The 26724-nt window shown below is 36.9% G+C and overlaps 1 pseudogene; it reads left to right on the top strand.

The window, feature by feature from the left end:
* LOC100132626 (RNA guanine-7 methyltransferase activating subunit pseudogene) lies at positions 8853 to 9601 on the top strand (annotated as a pseudogene).
* Positions 9602 to 26724: the final 17123 nt, after the last annotated feature.

Here is a 26724-nt window from a genome sequence, read left to right as displayed (position 1 = left end):
TGCCTGTTAGCTTTTTAAATTTCTCTATTTATTTTCTTTTTTATATACATTCCTGCTGCCTTCTGGAAGAATTTCTCAATTAACTGTTCTACTGCATTAATTTATTTTTTCAGTTATATCTGTCCTCCTATATATTTTTCTTCCTTTTAAGCCATATTTTATTATTCCACTTGTTGTCATTGCTTTGTCTTACACTGCTAGTATTTTCCCTTATCAGCTTAAGTGTTTCTATCATATTTATTTTAAATTCTTAGTCCACTTCTAATATTTCCGTTTCAGAGAATGCATGTACCCCTTAGATGTCTGGTCATTTTAGCCCAGAAGTCTTCCCGTGAGGATACCAGCTACCCTGCCCAGTTTAAGTGAGTTAATAAAGAGAGAATGAGCCTCCATGTGGAAATCCCAGACATCACCAAACCACTGTGAATTACCCTGATTTGTAGGAACCCATCATGTAACTCTATTGCTCAGGTCTTGACCTTAAACCTTAAGGAGAAGATGCATTATGAGAAGGTAGCCTCCCTAGATTTTAATCCACGAGCCCTGTGGGTCTGAAGGGTAGGGGTAAGGCAAATGGGTCCAGAAGCCCTTGTTTTCATTAACTCCTCCCTCAGCAATATTTATGCAGCCTCTCTGTGATCCTGGGTCACCTCTGCAGTGAAGAGGCGAGTGATGGCTGTCTTGAAGTAAAGCCAGAGAAGGACAAGAGCAGAATCCAGAAAGCTCCACTGCCACCTTGGGCCACCTTCTTCCCCTGGCTGAAACTGACACACGCAAGTGCAAATAGTCTTCTGTACCCTCAGGGTGTTCCCACAGTCTGTTGGTTGGTTTTATTCATTGTTAGAATTCATGTTTCACTTCTGTTAATTTTTTTTCTTTTCTCCAGGATTAATTTGAGAGAAGAGGGCATCATCCTTGTTGGAACCAGAAATCTTCCTACACAGGTTAGAGAGAGACTTCCCACAGTTTATAAACGCATGTGAAATTGTTTGTTCACCTGTAATAACATAGATAAATTATTAAGTTAAATGATGATTATATTCCAATCCCCCCACTCAAATTCCAAATGTCCTCATATTGTGTCTTCTCTTCTATTCAAAAATCAGTCGCTAAAAGTGTGTGCCCTTTAAGAGGCCTGCCCTGTCAGCCTGTGTCGTTCATTCACTGCCTCCCTGTCGGGAGCACCACTCGCCACATTCCTGACAGGATTTTGACAGGGTCTAGGATGTCAGACATGCTTATTAGCATTCACTTTTCTCATTAGACTGTTAAGGACTTGCTAATTAAAATGACTTCTTAAAATCTTCTAGTTATAATTAGTCACCAGCATAAAGTTGTCCACATTGTTTCTGCCATGGCAATAATTTTCCTCTCAGATCCATTTCAAACTGTCATTTCCTCAGTACTCAGCCTCAGGCATCCTCAGTATTGGCCATGCTCACTTAACACAACTTGGTTCCCTCAGTTCATACCCCATTAGCTGAATTCCTTCACAGGCACACTCCCTCTCAATTAGCTTTGGAATGTTGTATAGAGGAAACGGCATTACACCAAAGGGTCAAGTTCTAATCTGTGTTCTTACAGAAACTCGATGTATGACAATAGCAAAATCATTTCATCTTCCTCAGTTTTTTATAATCTACAAAATGGGGTTAAAGTTGGAAAAGATGGAAATAAATTATTGCAAATGTTCCAAACTCTAAACCTCTATGATTTAGTTTAAGGTTATCTATGCTCTACTTAAGATTAGGAAATATGCACATATTTCTAGAGACCTAGTTCAACTTACTAGAGAAAGCTTATATTACTCCATTCTCATGCTGCTAATAAAGACATATCAGAGACTGGGTAATGTATAAAGGAGAGAGGTTTAATTGACTCAAGAGTTCAGTATGTCTGGGATGGCCTCACAATCATGGCGGAAGGTGAAGAAAGAGCAAGTCATGTCTTACATGGCAATAGGCAGGAGAGCGTGTGTAAGGGGACTGCCCTTTATAAAACCATCAGATCTCATGAGACTTACTCACTATCATAAGAACACCATGGGGAAAAACCCATCCCCATGATTCAATTTCCTCCCACCAGCTCCCTCCCACAACACTTAGGGATTATGAGAGCTACAATTAAAGGTGAGATTTGGGTGGGGACACAGCCAAATCATATCAAAGCTTCAGTAGCTTTCTAAAGACTACTTCTAGCTGTCCTTTTTCCCTTCATACAATTCAGTTCATCTCACCTCTAGAAGAGTAATATAGATAGATATCCTACTCATAATTTATTTCCACCAGCCCAAATCATAAACTTACAAAATTTATCAAAGACTTACTCAGCCCTCAAATAAATAGTAAGTTCAATATTAGAGTTTTTATTATCATAACTTAGCAGTCCACTCGCTCTAACTAATGAGTAGAGCCCACCATTAACAACATTACTATGGCTGAGCTTCCAGCATCATCCAGACCACCATCTCTGATCAGTCTGAAATCTTACAAAATACCATTTATTAATGTCTTCATTTAACCTTGACCACTGAAACAGAAATCCACATGCACTAGAGGCCCAGTCCCCACCAGTGCATAGTATACCCATGTAACAAATATGCACATGTGCCTCCAAATCTGAAACAAATAAAATTTAAAAAATAAAAAAATTAAAAAGAAATCAGAATAAGACTATTCTGATGACTTTCTTGCTTGAAAATGTTCTTGGAAAAGCATTGAATTATTTTGAAACTTCTTAAAGAAGCTGAGCGCAACAAGCCTGTAGTCCCAGCTACTTGGGAGGCTGAGGCAAGAGGATCACTTGAGCCCTGGAGTTTGAGGCTCCAGTGAGCTATGATTGCACCACTGCACTCCAGCCTGGGAAACAGGGCAAGTGCTTGTCTCTAAGAAAATTTGGATCTAGTGTAAATGTGGGGCAAAGGAGGGCATTGGTTCCTATTTTAGTAAAGGCAATTGCCTGTTTCAAAAGTGGCTGAGCCAAACTACTACACAAAGTTCATTCTGCCAGGTTCTTAGCACAAAGCAACTACTACTGGAAATAATGCGTTTTTCAGCAGCATAATGCTTATAGCTTCTGGAAACTTCAGAGAGAATTTCCTCAGCTCTCAGGAATGATTGGATTCATGATAGCATTGGTCCAGTACATACATCAAAGTAAAACAGGGAAGTTCCAGCCAGGCAGTCCCAAAGCAACACTCAGCTTCTCTTTGGAGTCTTTATTCCCAAGAAGTTCTTCAGGCCAGCTCCTGGAATTCCAATACCAAAGACTTTTTAAAATTGTGCTCCAAAGCCCTATTCTTTGTGTTATACTCTCTATGAGCTTACAAAAATTAATAACTCCCTTGTGACTTTATTAGACAAAATGCACACAGTCTTTATAGTATTTGGACTTTCATTCTGATTACTGTAATTGGTAAACTCCAGAATTGCCTTATCTTTGCTAAACATATCCTCCCCACATATGATTAGGTATGGCTACACACTATAGACATTTTTGTGTAGGTCAAGATGTCAGCAAACTTTTCCTATAAAGCACCAGATCTTTTGCATGTTGTGGGTTATACGGTCTCTGTCACAACCACTTAACTCTGCCGTCATAGCTTGGAAGCAATTATAGACAATACATCAGTGAATGGACATGACTGTGCTCCAATAAAACTGCAAAGTAGATGGTGAACTAGGTTTAGCCCATCGTCCAAGTTTGCTGTGCCCTTGTCGAAGCAGCCTTAATAATCAGCTCAAATAATTTTGTACCTGCTCTAAAAATAAATGAGTTTTTAATTTAGCAAAGTATTGAACTTTCTCTAATGATGGAGACTATTTTGTACTTTTATTCTGACATAAATAGATAAGCAGAAACATAGTCCAGATTTAGACTTTCTCATAATTGGAAATTTAAACACAGTTTGGCTGAAATACAATAATAACTAGAATTTATCTAAGGCATAATAATTTATAAAGCTCTTTGACATACTTTATTTAATCTAGTCATCACAACACTATTAAATAAGTATTATTTTTTCTTTGCTTTTTGTAGTGTAGGAAACTACATAAAACTAAGTATAATGGTTCACTTAGAAACAGCAGGGATTTGAACCCAGATCTGATATCAAAACCATACCAACTTCACTGTTCCAAAACTAAATATTAATAGCAAAATTAGCAGCCATTCTTTGAACGATTGGTCAATAAGTTCTGAATCCAAGTGAAAATTCTAGTTAGTCAACATTTCTTCATTTAGTACACAACGTTGCCATGAAAAACTACAAATCAGTATGTTATTGTGTATACACAATATTCAGTACACAAAGCACTCTCCTGGTATACATCTGATAATGCAATTCAAATTTTTAAATAAGGTTGATTCTAGTAGTCTATTTAGTAGGCCTTTCCTGCTCCCTAGTGATGATCAGTTTCATTTTCTAAATATTAAATAACTATATTCTAAGAATCCACTTTACAAGTTTCTGTTTAGAAGAAATTTCAGATGTATTTGTCTGTAGTTTCTGCATTACAGATTTATGTGTTTTGGCATATCTCCAAGTCTTCACAGTAAGTTGACAGTTATTGAAGTGATTCTTTTATTATATCTTCTAACTGTTCCAGTACATGATATTGAACAGGGTCTAGGCTTAGGAACTCATTGAAAGCAGCTAAATGCTCCCATAATAGTTCCTCTGTAAACTTTGAGTCACAATTCAATCTTAAGCAAGTAAGTACCAAATTATATCATTTAAAGATTGTCTCCATGAAGAAAAAAAAAGGTAAGAGAAAAAAATTCAAGTGTTTCTGCCTTTTCTGCTTAGGTTAACTTTATGCCACCATCTCCAAGTAAAAATGTCCTTCCTTTATTGTTCTTTATTACTATAAAGATAAATATTTAACAATTCTTATTATAAAGATAACTGTTTCTATGGTTTCGGAATTTTTTTTAAACCTCAGCACATTCATCATCCTTGTTACCCAGATCTCATTTTTATTGGCTGTACAACTTTTATCTATTCACCATAAGATTTATAATTCTGCCCATATCTTTTTAAAATATGCTATATATTAATAACTCCAAGGACAAAGGAGGAAAAGTTTATTTTTTTCCTCAATAACCATTGTATTTTTCATTTAAAAATCAAATACCATTGTTTTTCAGGTCCCTGCATGTGTAATCCTGTAACACAATGGTGGTGTGTTTCAACAGAAATGTGACCTTGTGTGAATCCCTAAACCTCTGAGTCTTGTCTTATTGGAGTCCTCCCCAAATCAGACCCCAAGGATTTTGGTGCATGTAGCTTATTTGTGGTGGTGATGGTGGTGGTGGTGCAATTTGAGAAAACACTATCAGCTAGTGAAGAGTGGGGCAGGGAAGGGAGTGTTGGTGAACATTGTATTCCTCAGGACAGCTGTTGCTTAATCCACCCCCAAACCACACCCACAACTCTCTGAGACACTATGCAGGACATAGCTCAAAGTTGTCCCACCACATCGGGGAAGAAGCTGGGAATTTACCCACCTACTCCTGTTCAGCATTAATGGGGGTAGCTCTTGAGGTGTTATCTCTCCAGCATTTTTGGCCTGCCCCAAGGTCAAAGGGCACCCTCACGCAGACAGACCCAGGAAGCTGGCCAAATGCAGGAGAAGCATCTGCTGGCAACTTCTCACATGAGATAAAGGTATATGGGCTGGGCACACATAGCACTTGCTACACTAAGGCTTCTTACTTTTAGATGAGGATAAAAATATTTGCCTCAATTACTTCATGGGATGGATGAAAAGATTAATCACTACTAATATTTATGTACTGCTTTAGAATTCACAAAATATCTTCACAGGCATTTTAAAATGCATTCCGGTTGGGCGCAGTGGCTCACCCCTGTAATCCCAACAGTTTGGGAGGCCGAGGCAGGCGGATCACCTGAGGTCAGGAGTTCAAGACCAGCCTGGCCAACATGGCAAAACCCTGTCTCTACTAAAAGTACAATAATTAGCCGGGCATGGTGGAAGGTGCCTGTAATTCCAGCTACTCAGGATGCAGAGGCAGGAGAATTGCCTGAATCCGGGAGGCAGAGGTTGCAGTGAGCCAAGATCACACCGCTGCACTCCAGCCTGGGCAACAAAAGCGAGACTCTATCTCAAACAACAACAATAACAACAACAACAAAAAAAAACTGCATTCCTCACACAAGAATGGTATACCTATCTATAATGACAGTCTCCATTTAACACATGAAAATCTGAGGCTCAGAAAGATTAAATCATTTGCTTCATATCACAGAACTGACAATTAGCAAAGGCGGGATTTGAACCAAGTATCCTAACTATCACTACCAGGCTTTTTCCACCACCGTATGTGTGCATGTGCTCTTTCAAGTACAAAGCATTCTATGTATGTAAGGCATAGTTACTCCTCGAGAGGGGTCACATTAACAAAACAAATGCATAAACAAAAATTCTTCCTATTTATCAACTGTGTGTGTGTGTATATAGTTTTAAAAATATATCAATTAGTGCTGGGTGTGGTGGCTCACGCCTGTAATCCCAGCACTTTGGGAGGCCAAGATGGCTGGACTGCCTGAGGCCAGGAGTTCGAGACCAGCCTGGCCAACATGGTGAAACCATATCTCTACTGAAAATACAAAAAATTAGCTGGGCGGGGTGGTGGGCGCCTGTAATCCCAGCTACTCGGGAGGCTGAGGCAGGAGAATTGCTTGAACCCAGGAGGTGGAGGTTGCAGTGAGCCGAGACCTTGCCACTGCACTCCAGCCTGGGCAATAACAGCAAAACTCCATCTCAAAAAAATTACATATATATTTATAAATATATATAATTATACATATATTTATTTATAATTTACTCTCTCTCTCTCTCTATATATATATATAGTAAAATGCATACAGAGAGGAGTGCTTTCTGACTTTTAACCCTGGTGTGGCCATCTGCACATTCGTGTGCATCCATGTGACCAGGTGCTTTGGCACCCACTTCATTTTGTTGAGGATGGAACAGAATAGAACTAAGTCCACCAAAGCACAAGCAGGGTCAAAGTGAACAACCAAATGAAAGAAGTGTTTATGGGGAGATTGAGAACTTTCCCATTGGGGTAGACTCAATGCATACAATCCTTTTCTCAATGGAGCTAACAAGAGAAAATTAAATTATTCCTCAGCCTGAATATATTCTTGTCCACCCACAAACTGAACTGAGTGAAAGGCTGACCTACCTTGACTTCTGGCCAAGGCACTTCATTCACTAGAAGAGGGTCAAAAGGCTGCTCTTACGAAGCAAAGACCCAGGAGTAAGGTAGAAAACATGAACCTACCGTATTTACTAAGTAAAATATTTTTTTTCACCTTGTTTACATTACTGACTTGTTCTAAAATTATTTTTGTTCCTGCAAGCAGACAGGCACTTTGAGGTTTTTCTCTGAATAGTATTGGCCCATTTACTTTTTACCCTGTACGTTTATTTCCCTTCATTTATTAGATTTCTTTAAACATGCCCACTGCCCACAGGCCTCCGGGCATGAGTTCAAAATTAAATGCTACAATTACATGAAATGCAATGGCCAAAGAATATAATTTCACATAAGAGAAGGGTGGATGGGTAGGTTGGAAGTGGAAGGAGTTCATCAGGGAAGCCAATGCCAAACCAGAAAGGTACATCTTGTACCACACCCTGTAGGCACTAGGCATGAGGAATTATATGCTGGACTCAGTACGCTAGCAAAACCGTTAAAAACCTGAGGTTGGATTTAAATTTAGATGCCAGCAATTTAAAGTGGAGTATAAAGCTGGCCAGAAAACTATCCCTCTCCCCTAATCAGTGGCTATATATCTATGTTCAAGAAAGCCAAAATGGAGTCCTGGAGAGAAAGCCACTAGACTCATTACATAAAGACAGGGGTGATGTGTGCAAAATGGGGAAGAAGGACTGGTTACAATAACAGCTAATATTTATCCAGTGCTTACTTTATGCCAAGCACTACTGTAACTAACAGATATATACACAGAGAGATACATTTATCTAATACATATAAGCACACTTCAAGGGGCAGTAGCACAATCTGAGGAGACAAGTATCAGGATAAAATTCAGATATAATATAGCCACTGGAATTATCAGAGAGGGAATTTTTTTATATAGATTTATGGAGTACAGGTATAGATTTGTTACATGGATATATTGCATAGTGGAGAAGTTTGAGTTTTTAGTGTAACCATCACCCAAATAGTGTACATTTTACCTATTAGGTATTTTCTCATCCCTCACCACCCTCCTGCCTTTCTAGGTCTCCGTGGAATACCACCGAAGCATAAAAAAGAATAAAATCATGTCTTTTATAGCACCATGGATGGAACTGAAGGTCATTATCAAAAGTGAAATAACCCCAAAACAGAAAGTCAAATACTGCATATTCTCCTTTATAAGTGGGAGCTAAATAATGTGTACACATAGATACACAGAGTGGAATAGAAAAGAATTTAAAATACCTATGATTAATATGTTAAAGGCTTTAATGCAAAATGTACACAATGTGCAAAAACAAACACAATCAAGTAATCAGGTAACATAAGCAGAGAGATAAAAATTCTAATGAATCAAAAGAAAATGGTAGAAATTCTGTCCCTCATTAATTGGGGGTGGCTCCTGAGAGGTTTGCTCATTTTTTTCTTTCTTTTTTTTTTTTGATGTAACAGAAATAAATAATGCCTTTGATAGGCTTATCAGAAGACTGGACATGGCCAAGAAAAGAAAAAACAAAAACAAAACACCACTGAGCTTGAAGACATGTCAGTAGAAGTTTCCCAAAGCAAAATGTAAAGAGAAAAAAGATGGGAGGTGGTTGTCAGATGCTAGTGGGAGGGACTCCATTACCTTAGGAGCTGGAGTGGTCTGGACTTCCAGGCGTGGTGGGCCAGAGGCACCTCTCCTGCAACCTCTCAGTGTCTCTCTGGTGGGGTTCGGCCCAAGGTGGATTGACACAGCCTTTGGTGGATTTTAAACAACCTGAACATTAAGCAATACACCTTCCTCAAATCTTTGGGAATTTCAGAATGACTGACACTTCCAAAGCTGTTCCAACTTTTGAAGAGATGTTTGCTAGTAGATTCACAGAAGGTGACAGGGAGTATCAGCAATACCTGAAATGCCCTCCTGGGTCCCCTCTAATTGTTGAGGAATGGAATAGCAGAGCTGCTGGGAACCAAAGAAATAGAGACAATCAGTCTCAAGATAACAGACAGTTCAGAGGCAGGGATAGCAGCCAGGGATGGCCAAGTGACAATTGATCCAATCAGTGGCATGGAAGATTCTGGGGGTAACATTACCCATAACACAGACAAGAACCTTACTATCCCCACCAATATTGGCACTATGGTTAAAACCAGCAGCCTCCTTACGGTTACTACTGATAGAAATGTCAGCAGCTTTTAGTAAAACCATTTACTTTGCTACCGTGACAAAAATTTGGGTGTCTTCTGTTGGTCATAGTCTTACATCTGATTTTAGAGACTAGATTATTGATATTTTGGAACTTGAGATTTTTTTTTTAATAGATCTTACTTGTGAGATGTGATGGTTGCTGGGAATACCTAAAATTATGAATTATATTGTTTGACTTGTACCTCAGAGTCTTCTTTTTTTCATGACTTAATAGTGCTTTGAGTTTGGTATAATTTTCTTATTTGACCTCTAGGAGTTCTTTGTTTTACACAGAAATAAAAAAATTAATAGAAAATGCTTGCTTTTACTTTGTAAGGTAGGGCAGTATCCATATGCTTACATGTGCTCATCTCTAAAATTCTACAAGTTAATAGAATCAGCTCACGAATCTCATGAATGCACAGCTATGCTTACTTGTGATATATTATACATAATATCAGCAGTTGAAAGGTAAAACAGTTTTTAATTTTGGGTTTGTTTTTTTTTGCTTTTGTTATGTGACTAAGGTACTGTGTGATTCCTTATTCTATAGATAGGAGGTAGCCCCACATTTATTTTGGTCTCTTTTTACAAGGAAACCCATAATAAATCTGTAAAATAAGAAGGGGACAGAAAAAGAATGGGGAAAAAAAGAAAATATCAGAAAACAAAATATCAAAAAAATACCAAAACTGCGATAATCTCAAAGGTATAATAGATACATAATTAGAATACAAGAAGAGGAAGAAAGAGAAAACAGAGAAAAATATTTGCTGTAATAATGACAGAGAATTTTTCAAAATTAATGAGAACACCAAACCACAGTTCCAGGAGACTGAGAGAACACCAAGCAGAATAAACACCAAAAAAAAAATGTAGACATATTATTTTTAAACTTCAGAAAAACAAAAGCAAAGAAAAAGTATTAAAAGAAGCCAGAAAAAAGAGCACATGACCTATAGAAGACCAAGAACAAGAATTACAGTGGACTTCTTATCAGAAACCATGCAAGCAAGAAGAGCGTGGAGTGAGGTACTTACATGTTGAAAAACAAAAACCACCCATTGAGATTTCCATACCCAGTGAACTTCTCCTTCAAAAAGGAAAAAGAAAGACTTTCTTAAACAAACAAATCCAACTCAAATCCAGCAGTGGGCCCTGCAAGAAATGTTAAAAGTTCTTCAGAGAGAAGAATAATGATATAGATCAAAAACTCAGGTTTACAAAAAGAAAAGAACCTTGAGGAAAAGTGAATAAACGTAAAATAGTCTTCAGTTTTTCTTATTCTTAATTGATCTAAAAGGTAACTCTTTGTTTAGAGTAATAATAGTAATAAAGTTTTGAGTGATTGTAGTATATGGGTAATTTTAATTAGTGAAAGCAACATTGTAAGAAATAGGAGGAAAAAATAAGAACTACATTGTTTTAAGGTATCTGCACTACAGGTGAAGTGGCATATGATCTTATATTAGTTGTAAATATATATTGCAAACTCTAGTGGATGAAAAGAAATTTAAAGAGAAGAATAACAGTTATACTAAGAGAGGGGAGAAAATAGAATCTTATGAAATACTCAATTAAGACAAGAGAAGGTAGAAAGAGAAGGTGTGAGAGGTTGAATTTTGCCTGCCCCCAACCTGCCAAAGTCATATGTAAAAGTTCTCAGAACCTCAGAATGTGACTGTATTTGGAGATACGGCCTTTAAAGAGATAATAACATAAAATGAGGTCCTTAGCATGGGTCCTAACCCAATATGATTGGTGTCCTTTTAAGAAGAAGAGATCAAGACAAAATCATACACAGAGAGAAGACCACATTAGGACACAGCAAGAAAGCAATGATTTGCAAGCCAAGGAGAGAGGTCTCACAAGAAATAAACCCTACCAACATCTTGATCTTGGACTTCCAGCATCCAGAGCTGTAAGAAAATTAATGTATGTTATTTAAGACATCCAGTCTATGGTATTTTCTTATGGCAGCCCTAGCAAACTAATAGAGGGGAAGAAAGAAAAGAAGCAACGAATAAGTGTAATGATTGCAAAACAGCTGCAAACATGGTAGATAATTAATCCAACTTTATCAATAATCATATTAAATGTGAATGATCTAAATAAACCAGTTTTAAAAATAGATATTGTTGGAGAGGATTTTTTTAAAGGGTCCAACTGTATGTTCTCTAGAAGAAACCCACTTTAAAAACATGAAAAGATTAAAAGTAAAGGAGTAGAGAAAAAACTATCATGTTAACATCAACCAAAAGAAAGCTGGAGTAGCTGTATTAATTTTAGACAAAATAGAGTTCTGAGCAAAAAAAAAATTATCAGAGATAAAGATGGGCATTACATAATGATAAAGGGGTCAATTCTCTAATAAGACATAACAACTATTAACATCCCTAACAACATCCCTAATATCCCTAACAAAATACGTGAAGCAAAAACTGCTAAAACTACAATGAGATATAGAGAAATAGACTATTTATAGTTGGAGATTTCAATATCCCTGTTTCAGCAACTGATAGAACAAGCAGGTAGAAAATCAGTAAAAACAAACAAACAAAAAGCAAAACAACAACAACAAAAAATTGGCCTGAATAGCACTAGTAATCAACTTGATCTAGTTGACACTTATAAAATACTACATCAACCAATGACAGAATACACATGCTTCTCAAGTTCACATGACACACTCACCAAGACAGGCAATATTCTAAGCCATAAGCCACACTACGAAATTTAAAAGAATAGATATCTTACAATGTCTGTTCTCAGACCACAGTGGAATTAAACTAGAAGTCAGCAACAGAAAGATGGCTGCAAAATCCCAAGATATTTGAGGATTAAACAATATACTTCTAAATAACATGTGTAGAAGAAGAAATCTCAAGATAATTTTAAAATATTTTAACTAAATGAGAATGAAAACTTACCAAATTTGTGGGATGCAGCAAAAGCAATGTATAGAGGGAAATGCATAGCATTAAATGGATGTATTAAAAAGAAGAGAAGAGAGATGGAAATTCAATAACTTAGGCTTCCATATAAGGAAATTAGAGAAAGAAGAGCAATATAAGCCTAAAGTAAAAAGAAGACAAGAAATAATATAATTAAAGCAGAAATAAGTAACAATGAAAACAGGAAAACCACAGAGATAATCAAATAAACCAAACGCTGGTTCTTTGGAAAGATTAATAAAATTGATGAACCTTCAGAGAGTCTAACAAAGAAAAAAAAGAGAAGACACAAATGGCCAATTTCAGAAAAGAGGAGTCACCACAGTGATTTCATGAATGTTACAAAGATTATAAAGAAATGCTACGTGCAATTACATGCTCACAACAAAGACCAATTCCTTGAAAGAAACAAATTTATCAACTCACACTAGGAAAAACAGACCTTCTGAATAGGTCTATAACTATTAAAGAAACTGAATCAATAATTAGTAAATTTCTAAAAATGTAATCACCAGACCCAGATAACTTCACTGGTGAATTATATCAAATATTTAAAAAGTAAATTATGTCAATATTTCACAATCTCTTCCAAAAATGGAAGCAAAAGGAACACTTCATAACTCATCCTATGAGATCTGCTTTGCCCTAATACTAAAACCATACAAAGCCATTACAAGAAATGAAAACTGCAGAACAGTATCTATAATGACTATAGATGCAAAAATTCTCATAGCATATTAGCAAACTAAATACAACAATGTGTAAGAAATATTATACATTACAACCAAGTGGGATTTATTCTAGGTATGCCAGAAGGATTCAACATTCAAAATCAATTAATATAATCCACATCAACATGATACAGAAGAAAATCTAATGATCATATCAATTGATGCAGAAAAAGTATTTGACAAAATTCCACATCGGTTTATGATAAAAACTCTCAATAAACTAGGAATACACAAGAACTTGTTAAACTCGATAAAGAACAGCTACAAAAAAAACTATATGTAACATTTTACTTAATATAGAGAAACTAGATGCTTTCTCTCTAAAGTTGGGAACTAGGCAAGGATATCCCCTCTTTCCACTCCTATTCAACTTTGTAATGAAGCCCCTAGAGAGCGAAAAAAGATTTAAAAAGGAAATAAATTGTATACAGATTGGGAAGGAAAGAATAAAACTGTCCTTGTTCACAGGAAACATAATTTTCTATGCAGAAATTGCCTCCCAAGAATCATTTTAAAACTACCAGAACTAATAAACAGTTATAGGTCATAGTATAAAAGGTTAATATATAAAACTTAATTGCTTTCCTACCTATCAGCAATGAATAATTGCAAATTGGAATTAGCAATACAACACAATTTACAATTACACCAAAAATAAGAAATACTCAGGCATAAACCTAAGAAAAAATATGTAAAAGGTATATATGAGGAAAACCACAAAACACTGACCAGAGAAATTGAAGAAGAGTTAAATAGAGAGATAACTTATATTAATGAATTAAATTTTAAAAAAATTTTAATTGCAAATTCTATTTTAGATTCAGGAGTACATGTGCAGGTTTGTTACATGGGTATATATTGCATAATGCTGAGGTTTGGGGTACTAATGATCCTGTCATGCAGGTAGAGAGCCTAGGACCCAATAGACAGTTTTTCAGCCCTTTCCCTCCTCCTCCTTCCTTCCCATGTCTACTAGTCTCCAGTGACTGTTGCTCTCATCTTTACGTCCATGTGTAACTAATGTTTAGCTCCCACTTAGAAGTGAAAACATGCAGTATTTGGTTTTCTGTTGCTGAGTTAATTTGCTTAGGATAATGACTTCCAGCTGCATCTATGTTGGACAAAGGACATAATTTTATTATTTTTATGGCTGCATAGTATTCCATGTTGTATATGTACCAAATTTTCTTTCTTTAATGCACTGTTAATGGGCACCTAGGTTGATTCCATGTTTTTGCTATTGTGAATAGTGCTGCAATGAACATACTAATAGATGTGTCTTTTTGGTACAGCGATTTATTTTCCTTTGGGGATATACCCAGAAATGGGATTCCTGGGGTCAAATGGTAGTTCTATTTTGAATTTTTTAAGGAATCTCCAAACTGCCTTTCACAGTGGCTGAAATAATTTATATTTCCACTATCAGTGTATAAATGTTCCCTTTTCTATGCAGCCTCGCCAATATCTGTGGGTTTTTTTATTTTTTAATAACCATTCTGATTGGTGTAAAATGATATCATGTTGTCATTTTGATTTGCATTTCTCTGATGATTAGTGATGTTGAGTGTTTTTTCATATGTTTTTTGGCCACTTGGATGTCTTCTTTTGAGAAGTGTCTGTAGAAGTTTTATATCCTGAGACTTGACTTTCCTATCCTTTGCCTGCTTCTTAATGAAATTGTTTGTTTTTTGCTTGTTCAACTGTTTAAGTTCCTTATAGATTCTTAATATTAGACCTTTGTTGGATGCATAGCTTATAAATATTTTTCCTGTTCTCTAGTTGTCTGTTTACTCTACTCATAGTTTCTTTTGCTGTGCAGAAGCTCCTTAGTTTAATTAGGCACTATTTATTAATTTTTAATTTTGTTGCAATTGCTTTTGAGGAGTTAGTCATAAATACTTTGCAGAGGTTGATGTCCAGAATGACATTTCCTAGGTTTTCTTCTAGAACATTTTATAATTTGAAGTCTTCCAGTTAAATCTTTAATCTATTTTGAATTTACTTTTGTATATGGTGAAAGGTAGAGGTCCAGCTTCATTCTTCTGCATATGGATAGTCAGCTATCACATTACCATTGATCAAATAGACAGTCCTCTCCCCACTGCTTATTTTTGTAGACTTTGTTGAAGATCAGATAATTGTAGATGCGCATTTGTATTTCTGGGCTCTCTATTCTTTTCCATTGATTTATGTGGTATATGTATCTATTTTTGTACCAGTACCATTATTGTTTTGGTTACTGTAGCCTTGTAGTATAGTTTGAAGTTAGGTAATGTAATGTCTCGGCTTTGTTTTTTTGTTTGTTTGTTTCAGTTTTGTTTTGTTTTCTTTTGTTTTGTTTTTGCCTAGGACTACTTTGGGTAGTCAGGCTCTTTTCTGGTTCCATGTGAATTTTAGAATAGTTTTTTTCTATTTCTATGAAAAATGACATTGGTAGTTTGATAGGAATAGCACTGAATCTATAGATTGCTTTGGGCATCATGGCCATTTTTAACAATATTGACTCTTCCAATCCATGGGTATTCTTCCATTTGTTCGTGTTATCTATGATTTCTTTCAGAAGTACATAGCAGTTCTCTTTGTAGAGATCTTTCCCCTCCTTGGCTACATGTATTCCTAGGTATTTTATTTTTTGTGGTTATTGTAGATAAGATTGCATTCTTGATTTGGCTCTCAGTTTCAACATTATTGGTGGACAGAAATGCTGCTGATTCTGTACATTGATTTTGTATCATGAGACTTTACTGAAGTCTTTTATCAGCACTAAGTTCCTTTCAGTGGAATCTTTAGGGTTTTTTAGGTATGGAATCATATCAGCAATGAGGGACAATTTGACTTCTTTTCATATTTGGATGCCTCTTATTTCCTTCTCTTGTCTGATTGCTATGGCTAGGACTTTCAGTACTATGTTGAATAGGAGTGGTGAGACAGGGCATCCTTGTCTTGTTCCTGTTCTTAAGGAAATTGCTTCAAACTTTTGCACATTTAAGATAATGTTGGCTGTGGGTTTGTCATAGATGGTTATTATTTTAAGTATGTTCCTTCAATGCCTAGTTTGTTGATGTTTTCTTCATGAAGAAACTGAATTCTATCAAAAGCTTTTTGTACATCTATTGAGATGATCATATGGTTTTTGTTTTTAATTCTGTTTATGTGGTGAATCATATTTATTGATTTGTATATGTTGAACCAATGTTGCATCCCAGGAAAAAGCCTATGTGGTCATAGCAAATTAACTTTTGATGTGCTTCTGTATTCAGTTTGCTAGTATTTTGTTGAGGATTTTTACTCTATGTTCATCAGGCATGTTGGCCTGCAGTTTTCTTTTTTCATTGTGTCTTTGCCAAATTTTGGTATCGGGGTGATGCAGGCTTTGTAGAATTAGTGAGTGAGTCCCTCCTCCTTGATTTTTTGGAATAGTTTCAGTAGGATTAGTACCAGCTCTTCTAGAAGATAACAGAGGAAGAATGCTAGATAACCATGGGTTTGGACACCTTGTATAACACTGAAAGCATACTCCATGAAAGAAAAACATGATACATTGGACTTTGTTAAAATCAAAACTTTTGCCCTACAAAATATACCGTAAAGAGAATGAAAGACATGCCAAAAACTTGAAGAAATTATTTGCAACACACATATCTGATAAAGGACTTGTGTTTAAAATATACAAAAAAAACTCTTAAAACTAACAAAAAAGAAAAAACTTTACTTAAAAATAAGCAAAAGACCTGATATATCACCACAGAAGATATACAGACTTTAAAAAAAAAAGTATACCGAAAGAAAAAAATGCGCAACATCGTTTGTCATTTGTCATTACAGAATTGCAAGTGAAAACAATAATGAGATACCATAATATATACATTAGAATAACTAAAATCTTAAAACACAATGTAAATTACTGGCAGAGCAATAGGAATGCTCGTTCATTGCTAAGAGGATGCAGCCACTTTGGAAAACAGTTTGGTGTTTTCTCGCAAAGCTAAACATAATCATGCCATATGTCGCTGTGCATTTGTGATACTGTAACAGAATGCCACAGACTAGGCAGTTTAAGAAGAATAGATATTTATTTCTCACAGTTCTAAAGTCTGGGTAGTCCAAAATCAAGGCACCAACATCAGTTATGGGCTTCTTGCAGCCTCACATGGCAGAGGGCTGAAGGGCAAAAGAGGAAACTCACTCCCACAAGCCGTTTTTATAATAGCATTAATTCATTCCTGAAGACAGAGTCTTCATGACTCAAATGCCTCTCATTAGGCCTCATATCCCAAAATTGTTGCATTGGAAATTGTTTCCAACACACAAATTTTGGGAGACACATCCAGACCATAGTGCCCTATGATTCCACAGTCAAGTTCCAAGCTATTAACCCAACTGATCTGCAAAATTATGTCCACACAAAAACCTACAGATGAATATCTTTAGAAGCTTTATTCATAATCACTCAAAATTACAAGCAACAAAGATGTTCTTCAATAAATATTAATAAACGGATAAACAAACTGTAGAGTATCCATTAGATGGAATGTTATTCTGTAACAAAGAATGCATTATTAAGCTATGAAAACATATGAATAAACTTTAAATTTATATTACTAAGTAAAAGAAGGCAACCTGAAAGGCTTTATACTGTAATTGCAAGTATATGACACTTTTGAAAGGCAAACTTAGAGACAATAAAAATACCAGTGGTTGCCTGGGGTTTAAGAGGAAAAGAAGAGGACTGAATAGATAGGGTTCAGGGGCTGTTTTTAGGACAGTGAAGCTATTCTGTATGATACTGTAATGATAGATACATGGCATTATGAATTTTTCAAAACCCATTGAGCTTAATAGCACAAAAGGTAACCTACATGTAGGCAAAATTTTAAAAATCATTTAGAATGTTGGAAGAGCTCAGAAAGGAATGCAGGCAGCAATAACATAACCTATTATGAATTTATGAAACCTCACTGAAAAGGATGGGGAAAATGGTACTGACTCAAGCAATGCTAGAAATGACTCGAGTAAGACTAGAGACAAAAGAAACTGCACATAATCACTGTACTCTGAAGGATGAAGCTATTTCCCAGGTGGGTATGGGTTAAAAATTCTGATGCTCGTATCTATGTATACTGGAATTTAGCAATTAATAAACTGAACTTTAGCACATAGCGTAAACTTAAATGGGGATGTTGAAGACCAGATTGCTCATTGTTGAAGTGGGATTGTATAGACAAGTAAGGGGAACAGCTAGAATAACCCATGTGGTAATGCTTAGCATTAAAGACATCAGTATGAACCCACACTTAGCTTAATATAGATACAAATAGTTGCAATAGAAAGATGTATAGATACGTGTACATGGGTTAGTATACACACATATATTTCCTAACTCTATTAGCTGAGACGGCCTAGAATCGAAGACACTCCAGTAGCAACAAGTACTCTACACACCAAGATCTTGCTTTCTAATACCATTCTGCAATAAAAGGAACCTGGGCTCCTTGAAGAAATGGCTGATTCTAGGACTGGTGCAGAAAAGATACAAGATGATCTTGAAGCATTTTGTAATATCAGAAAGTAAGAAGTGCTAAAATAAATAAATGCATACATATATACATACACACACATATTAATGGGGGTATGTCAAAGAAGCAAAGTAGCCATTTGAAAGGACTCCTAATGGCCAAACTTGGAACAATTTAAGGAACAGAATATAGTGTTGGATTATAACTAAAAGTGGAAAAATAACTATGAGTCCATACTGATATAAGTAAATGATTGAATGAATTTATTTATTCACTTCATTCATTTATTCATTATTTATTCATTATATTCATTTAACAAATGAATAAATAAATAGGGGAGAAGAGACAAATCTTCCATGTAGAATTGCAGATATTTTGTCCTCAAGGAGGGAGAACGCAACTCCCACTCCTCAGCTGTGGGCTGGACACAGTGACTTCCTTCCAAAGAGTACAGAATGGAACAAGAAAAGAATGACTAAACAATGAAGAAACCTGATAAACATTACCTGAGCCAAGTGATGGAGGTCAACATCAACAGTGATAATCAGTCCTATTGATAATGTACCCTGCATGTGGCACATTATCAACATATGTTGCAAATAGCACTTTTCCTCTGTGGTCTTCCTCTCAAGAACCCATAACCCAGTCTAATCACGAGAAAAACATCAGACAATTTCCAGTATAAGGACATTTTATGAAATTCCTGACCAGTACTTCTCACAACTGTCGAGGCCATCAAAACCAAAGAAAGTCTTAGAAACTGTGAAAGCCAAGAGGCGCCTAAAGAGACATGACAATTAAACATAATGTGGTATTCTGAATAGGATCCTGGAGCAGAAAAGTAACATTAGGTAAAAAACAGGATATCTCAATAAACTATGGATTTTACTTAATAATAATCAATATTGATTCATTAATTGTAACAACTGAACTGCACTAATGCAAGATGTCAATACAGGAAAAATTACATGTGTGGTATCTGGTAGCCTCTTTCTATAAATGTATAACTGTTCCAAAAAGTAAAGTATATTTTAAAAAAATAAAGTAGCATGAAAAACTAATGTAATAAAAGGGTTTTGTATTTAGAGATATTGAAACTACCTGCTTATAAGAATCAAATTCAAGTGTCAAATTAGTTATCTGGATCTTGACTTGAGACCTCCAGACTTAGACTAAAAACTGTACTTAGAGAAAAAAAAAGAGGTCAAAGAAGGTCATTATCTAAGTTATTCATGTGAATGATCAGCTAGTGAGGAAGAAAGTCTGAATCTGAAAGATCCTGATTATCCACAATCATTGAATTCATCAAGACATGGCTCTGCTTCCTTTGCTTCCAATCCTCTTGGGAATATTCAGTGTTGCAGCCCATCATCCCTGAGATAATCCCACTGAGACAGCCTGCCAGTGATGGCTCTGGCTGGTGCTAACCCATTCCTACTCTCACCCAGGGACTGGGACACAAGCTCACAAGACCAAGATGGCTGCCTTGGTCTCCTGAAGAGAATGTTTCCCTGTATGAAGGAAAATGAATTTAACAGGACCCTAGCCAATGCCACTGGGTCCATTAGCTTCAGGTTCTAATGAGCTTCCTAAGCCAGACTCCCTGTTACCACCACTACATCAGGCTGCCGATGATAACTCAGGATTTACACTGCCAAAAGTCAGTGAGCCTTTTTTTTCCTGCCACCTATCTTTGAAGCTGGTGCTCCACCCCAGGAAGGCCCCTCCTCAATAATAGACATAACACAGTTAGTTCCCAGGCCACACCAGAACGTGGAGAAAACAATGAGATAGACTTACTGCCATATACAGACTCTAAGACACCATGGTTTGGTATATGGGTGTGGAGTGCCCAAAGGTAAAGTGATCTGAGATTTCCTGGCCTGACCATGGTGGACTCATTTTTTCCAGCCACTTTCTACTAAAGCCAAAAATGTGACCAGGGTTCCCTCAGGGTCTCTAATTGCCCTGGTGGCTTTAGTAATTGCTCTGGACTCTTTCCCCAAAAGAGTAAACAATGATGTGTCCTTTTAGATTTCCCACATCCTCTCAGTTCACACTCTCCTCAAATAAGTATGTATGAAAGGAAACAAATACCCTTGTAACTTGCATAATAGATAGTTCTTTTCCACATAGTGTCAAGTGCCTTTGTGGTTCATTTGTTCCAATATATTAGTCTACACAATTAATTATAAGAGTAGGATGACTTTCGTTATCAAACAAACCTTTTAAATGCCTACACTGTAGATTGCAGTAACAGCTCAAATTTATTTACTCTTCCTTATATTCTTTGACAGTGTCCTCTCACACTGACTCTAGCTTTAGCCATGTGACTTATTTTGGCTCATAGGACATTAGCAGTTGTGATACAAGCAGAGGCATTAGAAGCACTTGTGTATTGAAGCTTGCCTGCTTGCCACTCATGGAACCAGCCACCGTGGGAGCAAGCACAGGCTATTCTGCCAGAGGAGAGCTGAGACACCCAGCTAACAATCAAGCAGCCCTCAGCTATTATGCCAATTGACTATAGAAGCGTAAGTGAATCCATGGCAAGATCAGCCAAGATTGGCCCAGATAAACAGTACTACCCAGCGAGCCCAGCCTAAATTGCTGACCCACAGAATCATGAGCTACATAGATTTTTGTTGTTTTAAGCTACTAAGTTTCGAATTGGTTTGTTACACAGCAATAGCAAACTGATACATCTATGAAGTACTCAGGACTTCCCTTTAGGATATACAGAAGAAATGGAATTGCAGGTGAAAAGACAAGACATACCATATGGGATATATCCTGCACTATAAGTAAGGAGAAAAATTTTACCTTTAGTTGCATGAAATATAATATTGATACCAAAGAGTGAGAAAATTGCACACAACCTGGAAATGATAATATTTATGTAATTCCAGCATTTTGTATCTCATTTAGGATGAAAATTAATAAGGCTCATAAGAATTAATAATGGGGGGAAGATATCAGGGACGTTTATTTTGCATCCAAGAAAATTTTCTCTCTATGATTCAATTTACACTTTGGGAAACAAATCCGATCACTTTTGTTTTATCCAAACTAGTTTGCCCATTCCTTGAAATTACATATGATGACATAATTCAAGTCTAACTTGGCAAAATAGAGAAAGTGCAGCTCGAGTCTGGTTTCTCTTTAATTTTTATTTCCCCTGGGTCCCATTCATATTCTTACAGACACTTTCCCTTGTGACCCAATCTAATTTGATTCCCTACCACATCTCCTCTACCGAGAGCATCCAAAGCTATTTTTCAGAGATCCTATAAATAATCTTTTGACAATACTTAAAAGGTAATATTCAGAAGAAAAAAAACTTTAGCTCCAAAAGGAAGGGGGCATGGAAAAAAGACTCTTTTCAGGACAGTGTCTAAGATTGTACCCGGATATTATCAACCAATCCAAATGGTCTGTTTTTCCAACTGACTTGACAGAATTGACCCATTTTCTTGGCTTTATATAGAAAAAGCCATCATGAGGTAAAATGAGAAGGAAAAACTGACCAGTCAGAACAAAGTTACGGAAATAGAGCAGGCATCCTGAAAGGGCTGATGTTTTATGACAAAGCAAAACGACAAAACTAAGGACAGTTATCTAGGTACAATATTCCACCATCCTTCCATGAAGTTAGAGAAGGAACTGATGTTCTTCTTTGCAGACAGATCTGACATCTGAGAAAAATCCATTCTTTGACATTCGAATAATTTTGAACTTATTTTTCTATTGTCCCTACTAAGGTTTGAATGTTCACTCTCCTCCCAAATTTCTGTATTGAAATGTAGTCACCAATATGATAGGATTAAGAGATGAGGGTCTTTAGGAGGTGATTAAACCATGAAGGTGAAGCCTAAGTTAATGGAATGGAGGCTTTTATAAAAAAGGCCTCATATGTACCTTTTTCAGCTTTTTTCCTTTCTGTCATGTGAAGAATCAAGGCATCATCTTGGAACCACAGAGTAGCCTTCAGAGACACTGAACCTGCCAGCACCTTGATCTTGAACTTCCCGGTCCCTAGAACCATGAGAAAATAAATTTCTCTTCTTTCTAAATTATCCAGTCCCAGATATTTTGTAATAGCAGCTTGAGCAGATTACGACAGTCTCCTGTGTCCCCTCTTAGCCCCATGGGTCTCTCCCGACTGGCCCCACTGCCTGTCAGGCTCATTCTGCTCCAGTATGCAACCAACACCTTCTATTAGTTTGCTAGGGCTGCCATAACAAAATACCACAAACTAGGTGGGTTAAACAACAGAAATTTATTTCCTCACGGTGTTGGAGGCAGAAGACCAAGATCAAGGTATGCCATGGACTGAATTGTGCTCCCTCTCCAAAATTCATATGTTGAAGCCCTAATCTCCAATGAGATGGCATTGGGGCCTATGGGAGATTATTAGTTTTGTATGAGGTAATAAGGGTGGAGCCTTCATGTCGGGATTAGTGCCCTTATAGGAAGAGGGAGAGACACTAGAACTTTGTCTCCATCACACGAGGACACAGGGAGAATGGTCATCTGCAAGCCAGGAAGAGAGACCTCACTGAAGAACTGAATTCACTAGTCCCTTGATCTTGGTCTTCTCAGTCTTCAGAATTGTGAGAAATAAATTCCTGTTGGATAAGCCACCCAGACTGTGGTATTTTGTTACAACAGCCCAAGCCGATTGACACAAGTTTGGTTTCTTCCTGGAGCCTCTCTCCTTGGCTTGTAGATGGCCATCTTCTCCCTGTGTCTTCAGTTTTTTGCTCTGTGCATATCTGTGTCCTTCCTAATTTTATTTTCTTATAATGACACTAGCCACATTGGATTAGGGCCCACCCTAATGACCACATTTTACCTCTTAAAGCCCCTATATTCAAGTACTGGGGTTTAGAACTTAAACATATGAATTTGGAGAGCAGGGGGACACAATTCAGACCATAACACACCTTAAGGTCCTTGCCTCAGAGGTCTATTTACCTTTCACCTTATTCCTTGATGTTAAACTAATTTCATCGGCTTCCTAACTGTACAAGAGGGAATGAAAACACTTCTTCCAGGTTAAATATACATATCAGTTGATTTCAAGGTGCATCCTAATTTTGGACAAGTGAAACGTAAGAGAAATAATTATCTTTTAAGAAATATGATAGTAAATGACTTTGAAAACTTAAAATTCTTGTAAAATTTATAGAACTGAAGCTCTAAGAGTTGGAATTATGGCCGATGAAAAAGACATAAGTAGATGGCTCTCCACTGAGTGAGCCGTTTAGATCATTTAACTTCACATTCTCAACACTTGTAACATCACTGAGGATATTTTCAGTGTGGACTGGAGCAGAGGGTGCAAAGGCAGAGGCAAGAGGACTTGCTCAGTTTCTTCCAGTTCTTTCATTAGGAAGTAGTACACTACACACTGACAACTCTATTAGCCACAGGCTTTTTCTTTCAAGGTCCTTGTTTTTGAATCCCTACCATGCTCCAGTTTCTTTTTATAGGAACTGTGTAAGTATCAAGCAGGCAGCCAGTCAATGCTGACTGACTGATTTAGTACTATCATCACTTCAGAGATATTCACATGAGAGCACTAGTAATTCCAAGTGGCCTTCATTTTTATTTTGAGGGTGAGAAGGTGTAGATGTGTTCATTTTTATCCTTTCATCCACCCACCGCTTACTTCTTTCTGAAAGGAAAATTTCCCTGCATGGACAGCCACTTCCCAGGGGTGGATATAAAATCAAAATCCCCAGTCTCTTTCAAATACTCCTCCTCTTTCTGCTTCAACACTTTACTCCTCATCCCCAAGTACATAACCTTAATGTTCATATTGAACATTGAACAAATAGAAACTGAACTTTAGATATTTATCTTGAGTGACTTCCCAAAGAGTATCTGACAGACTCCACCCTGTACTGTGCTTTCTCCTTGAGACACTGTCCCTCATCTCCCGAGCTTTGTCACAAGCTTACTGCTTGCTTTCTTCAAAAATATTACTAATGACAAACGAGAGGTAAATATCAAGTTCTATTTATTCTTCCCCTCTCAGAGCACTTTTCTGTTTCTGCACTTTCTGTCTAAAATAACCCTTTTTGGAAATCATCATAAAAGCTTGTCACTCCTATTTTGATGTTTCTTAGCCCATAACCCATGATGGGACTGCCCTATAACTGTTTTTCTTTGATGAACTGATCAAAAGTTCCCTGGCTAATTATATCATCTGGGAAGCAGAGGCAGTAGGGATTGGGAGGGGCAGCCAGCACCATTCATACTAATTTGGCTTCAGCTACTACATTGCCACTGTTCAAAGGACTAATTCTCCTTTGGATGTTGACCAAAAAGAAACGAGAGGGGGAACAAGCACAAGCAAGACAAACAGACTGCTATTCCTGGACACATAAAAATATACCTTTGGAAGTGGTTTAGTGAGGAAAAAATATTTTTTAACTCCCACCACAACATTTGTCAGTCTAATTTCTTCTTGAATAAACAGTTCTTTTTTGGAGCTAAATGACACAAGGAGTTTTTCAGCTAAATGGCCTTTTGTTTATCAAGATTATTTATCCATGTGGATTGTTGTCTCTGGTCACTTGTTCCTCTGGGTTGAAGGCAAAGGCATAAATTGTGCCCATAGAATCTCTTAATTTTAAGAGAAGGGACACAGGGACAAGTCATAAGACATTTAAGTGCTGGGAAACCTCTTAGCCTGGTTTTCTTTCTCAGGAGTCAGCTTACTCCACCAGTGCCTCTATTCATGTGGGATATAATGTTATTTCATTTTCCTCTGGTCATTTTACATCCCTGGAGAGAGCTTGACTCATGATATAATTATATGCTTGGCCAGTTCCCACTGAGAATCACTCCAGACTGCCACTGACCTGCCCTCCGGCTGATCTTCCACTCCAGTGCCAAAGAGAGCAGAGCTCTGCCAGAAACAGAGTGACACTTTTTGCAAAACTGTTAATTATTAAGTTCTCAGACAACAGTTTGCAATGGCTGTTCTCTTTCCTCCAAGGGGAACATTGAGCGCTAGAGGTTACTGACTCACTGCAGAATCAGCCCGGTTTGTGGTCTATTGGGCTGGTCAGTGCAGCCTGCCTAGTTCTCTTTGGTGGTTCTTAAAATGTTTCCTGGAGGACAGATTTTTAAATGTTTGGGAATTAAGACTTGTTTTACAGAAAATATAAATACTGCCACTAGAGTTGAATAAAACATAGTATTGTATAAAGCCACCTTGAGGAGGTGAGAGGATGACCCTGGCAGCCTCTCATAATCAATGGTTTGTTACCTGTCCTTCCATTCCATTTGTCCTGAATGGAGATCAGTCAGGGCTGTGGAATCCCATCTCTACAGGCGACATGGAGAAGTCATCTTTTCTAGCTGCTTGATTTCAGATAAGTCTTCTCACTGTTTGCAATTACTTGCAGGGCTGGAAGCTTCTTAACCAAACCATTTGAAATCCATGCCAGAACTTTATCTCCTAGCATTTTAATGTCTTTTTCTTATGTCCACCACAAATCCAGACTGTTTCCATTGGATCTATTTTTTCTGGTCTCCAAGGCTTTAGGGCTCATGTCAAATCTTACTTCCTCAGAGAAGCTTTTCCTGACCCCCTAATCCAATTTACATGTTCCCCATTATATTTTTAATCATAGCATCCCATTCTTTCTTCATAGCTGTATAATAACTTGGAATTATGTATTTTATTGTTTAAAGTATGTCTCCTTCCATTAGGTTGCAAATTTTATGAGCAAAGACATATCTGGTTCTTTTTAAAATTTTACCACTATTAAACCAGAGGTTTCACATAGCACCTGGTACAAAGTTAGCTCTCAATATACATTAGTTATAATTAACATTATTATTATCATTAATTGAATCAATAAACTTTTCTGCAGCCACTCAACTAAATTCTTCATGCTTTTGAAAATTATGGCCACTTCCCTCTCCTCCATTTCTTTCCATTTTTCTTTTATATTTATTTCTACATGTGCCTTAAAAGATCCTGGATCTTTTCTAAATGGAAAACCATATTTTTTTTTAAAAAGCTCATATATATTTCCGTCATTTTAATATTGCATCTCCCTCATGGGGAGTATCCAAATTGCTTTCTC

This window comes from Homo sapiens, chromosome 1 (genome assembly GCF_000001405.40).
Source record: "Homo sapiens chromosome 1, GRCh38.p14 Primary Assembly".
In the NCBI taxonomy this organism is placed as follows: Eukaryota; Metazoa; Chordata; class Mammalia; order Primates; family Hominidae; genus Homo; species Homo sapiens.
Note: the sequence above shows the minus strand (reverse complement) of the source record. Positions and strands in the feature narration are given on the sequence as shown.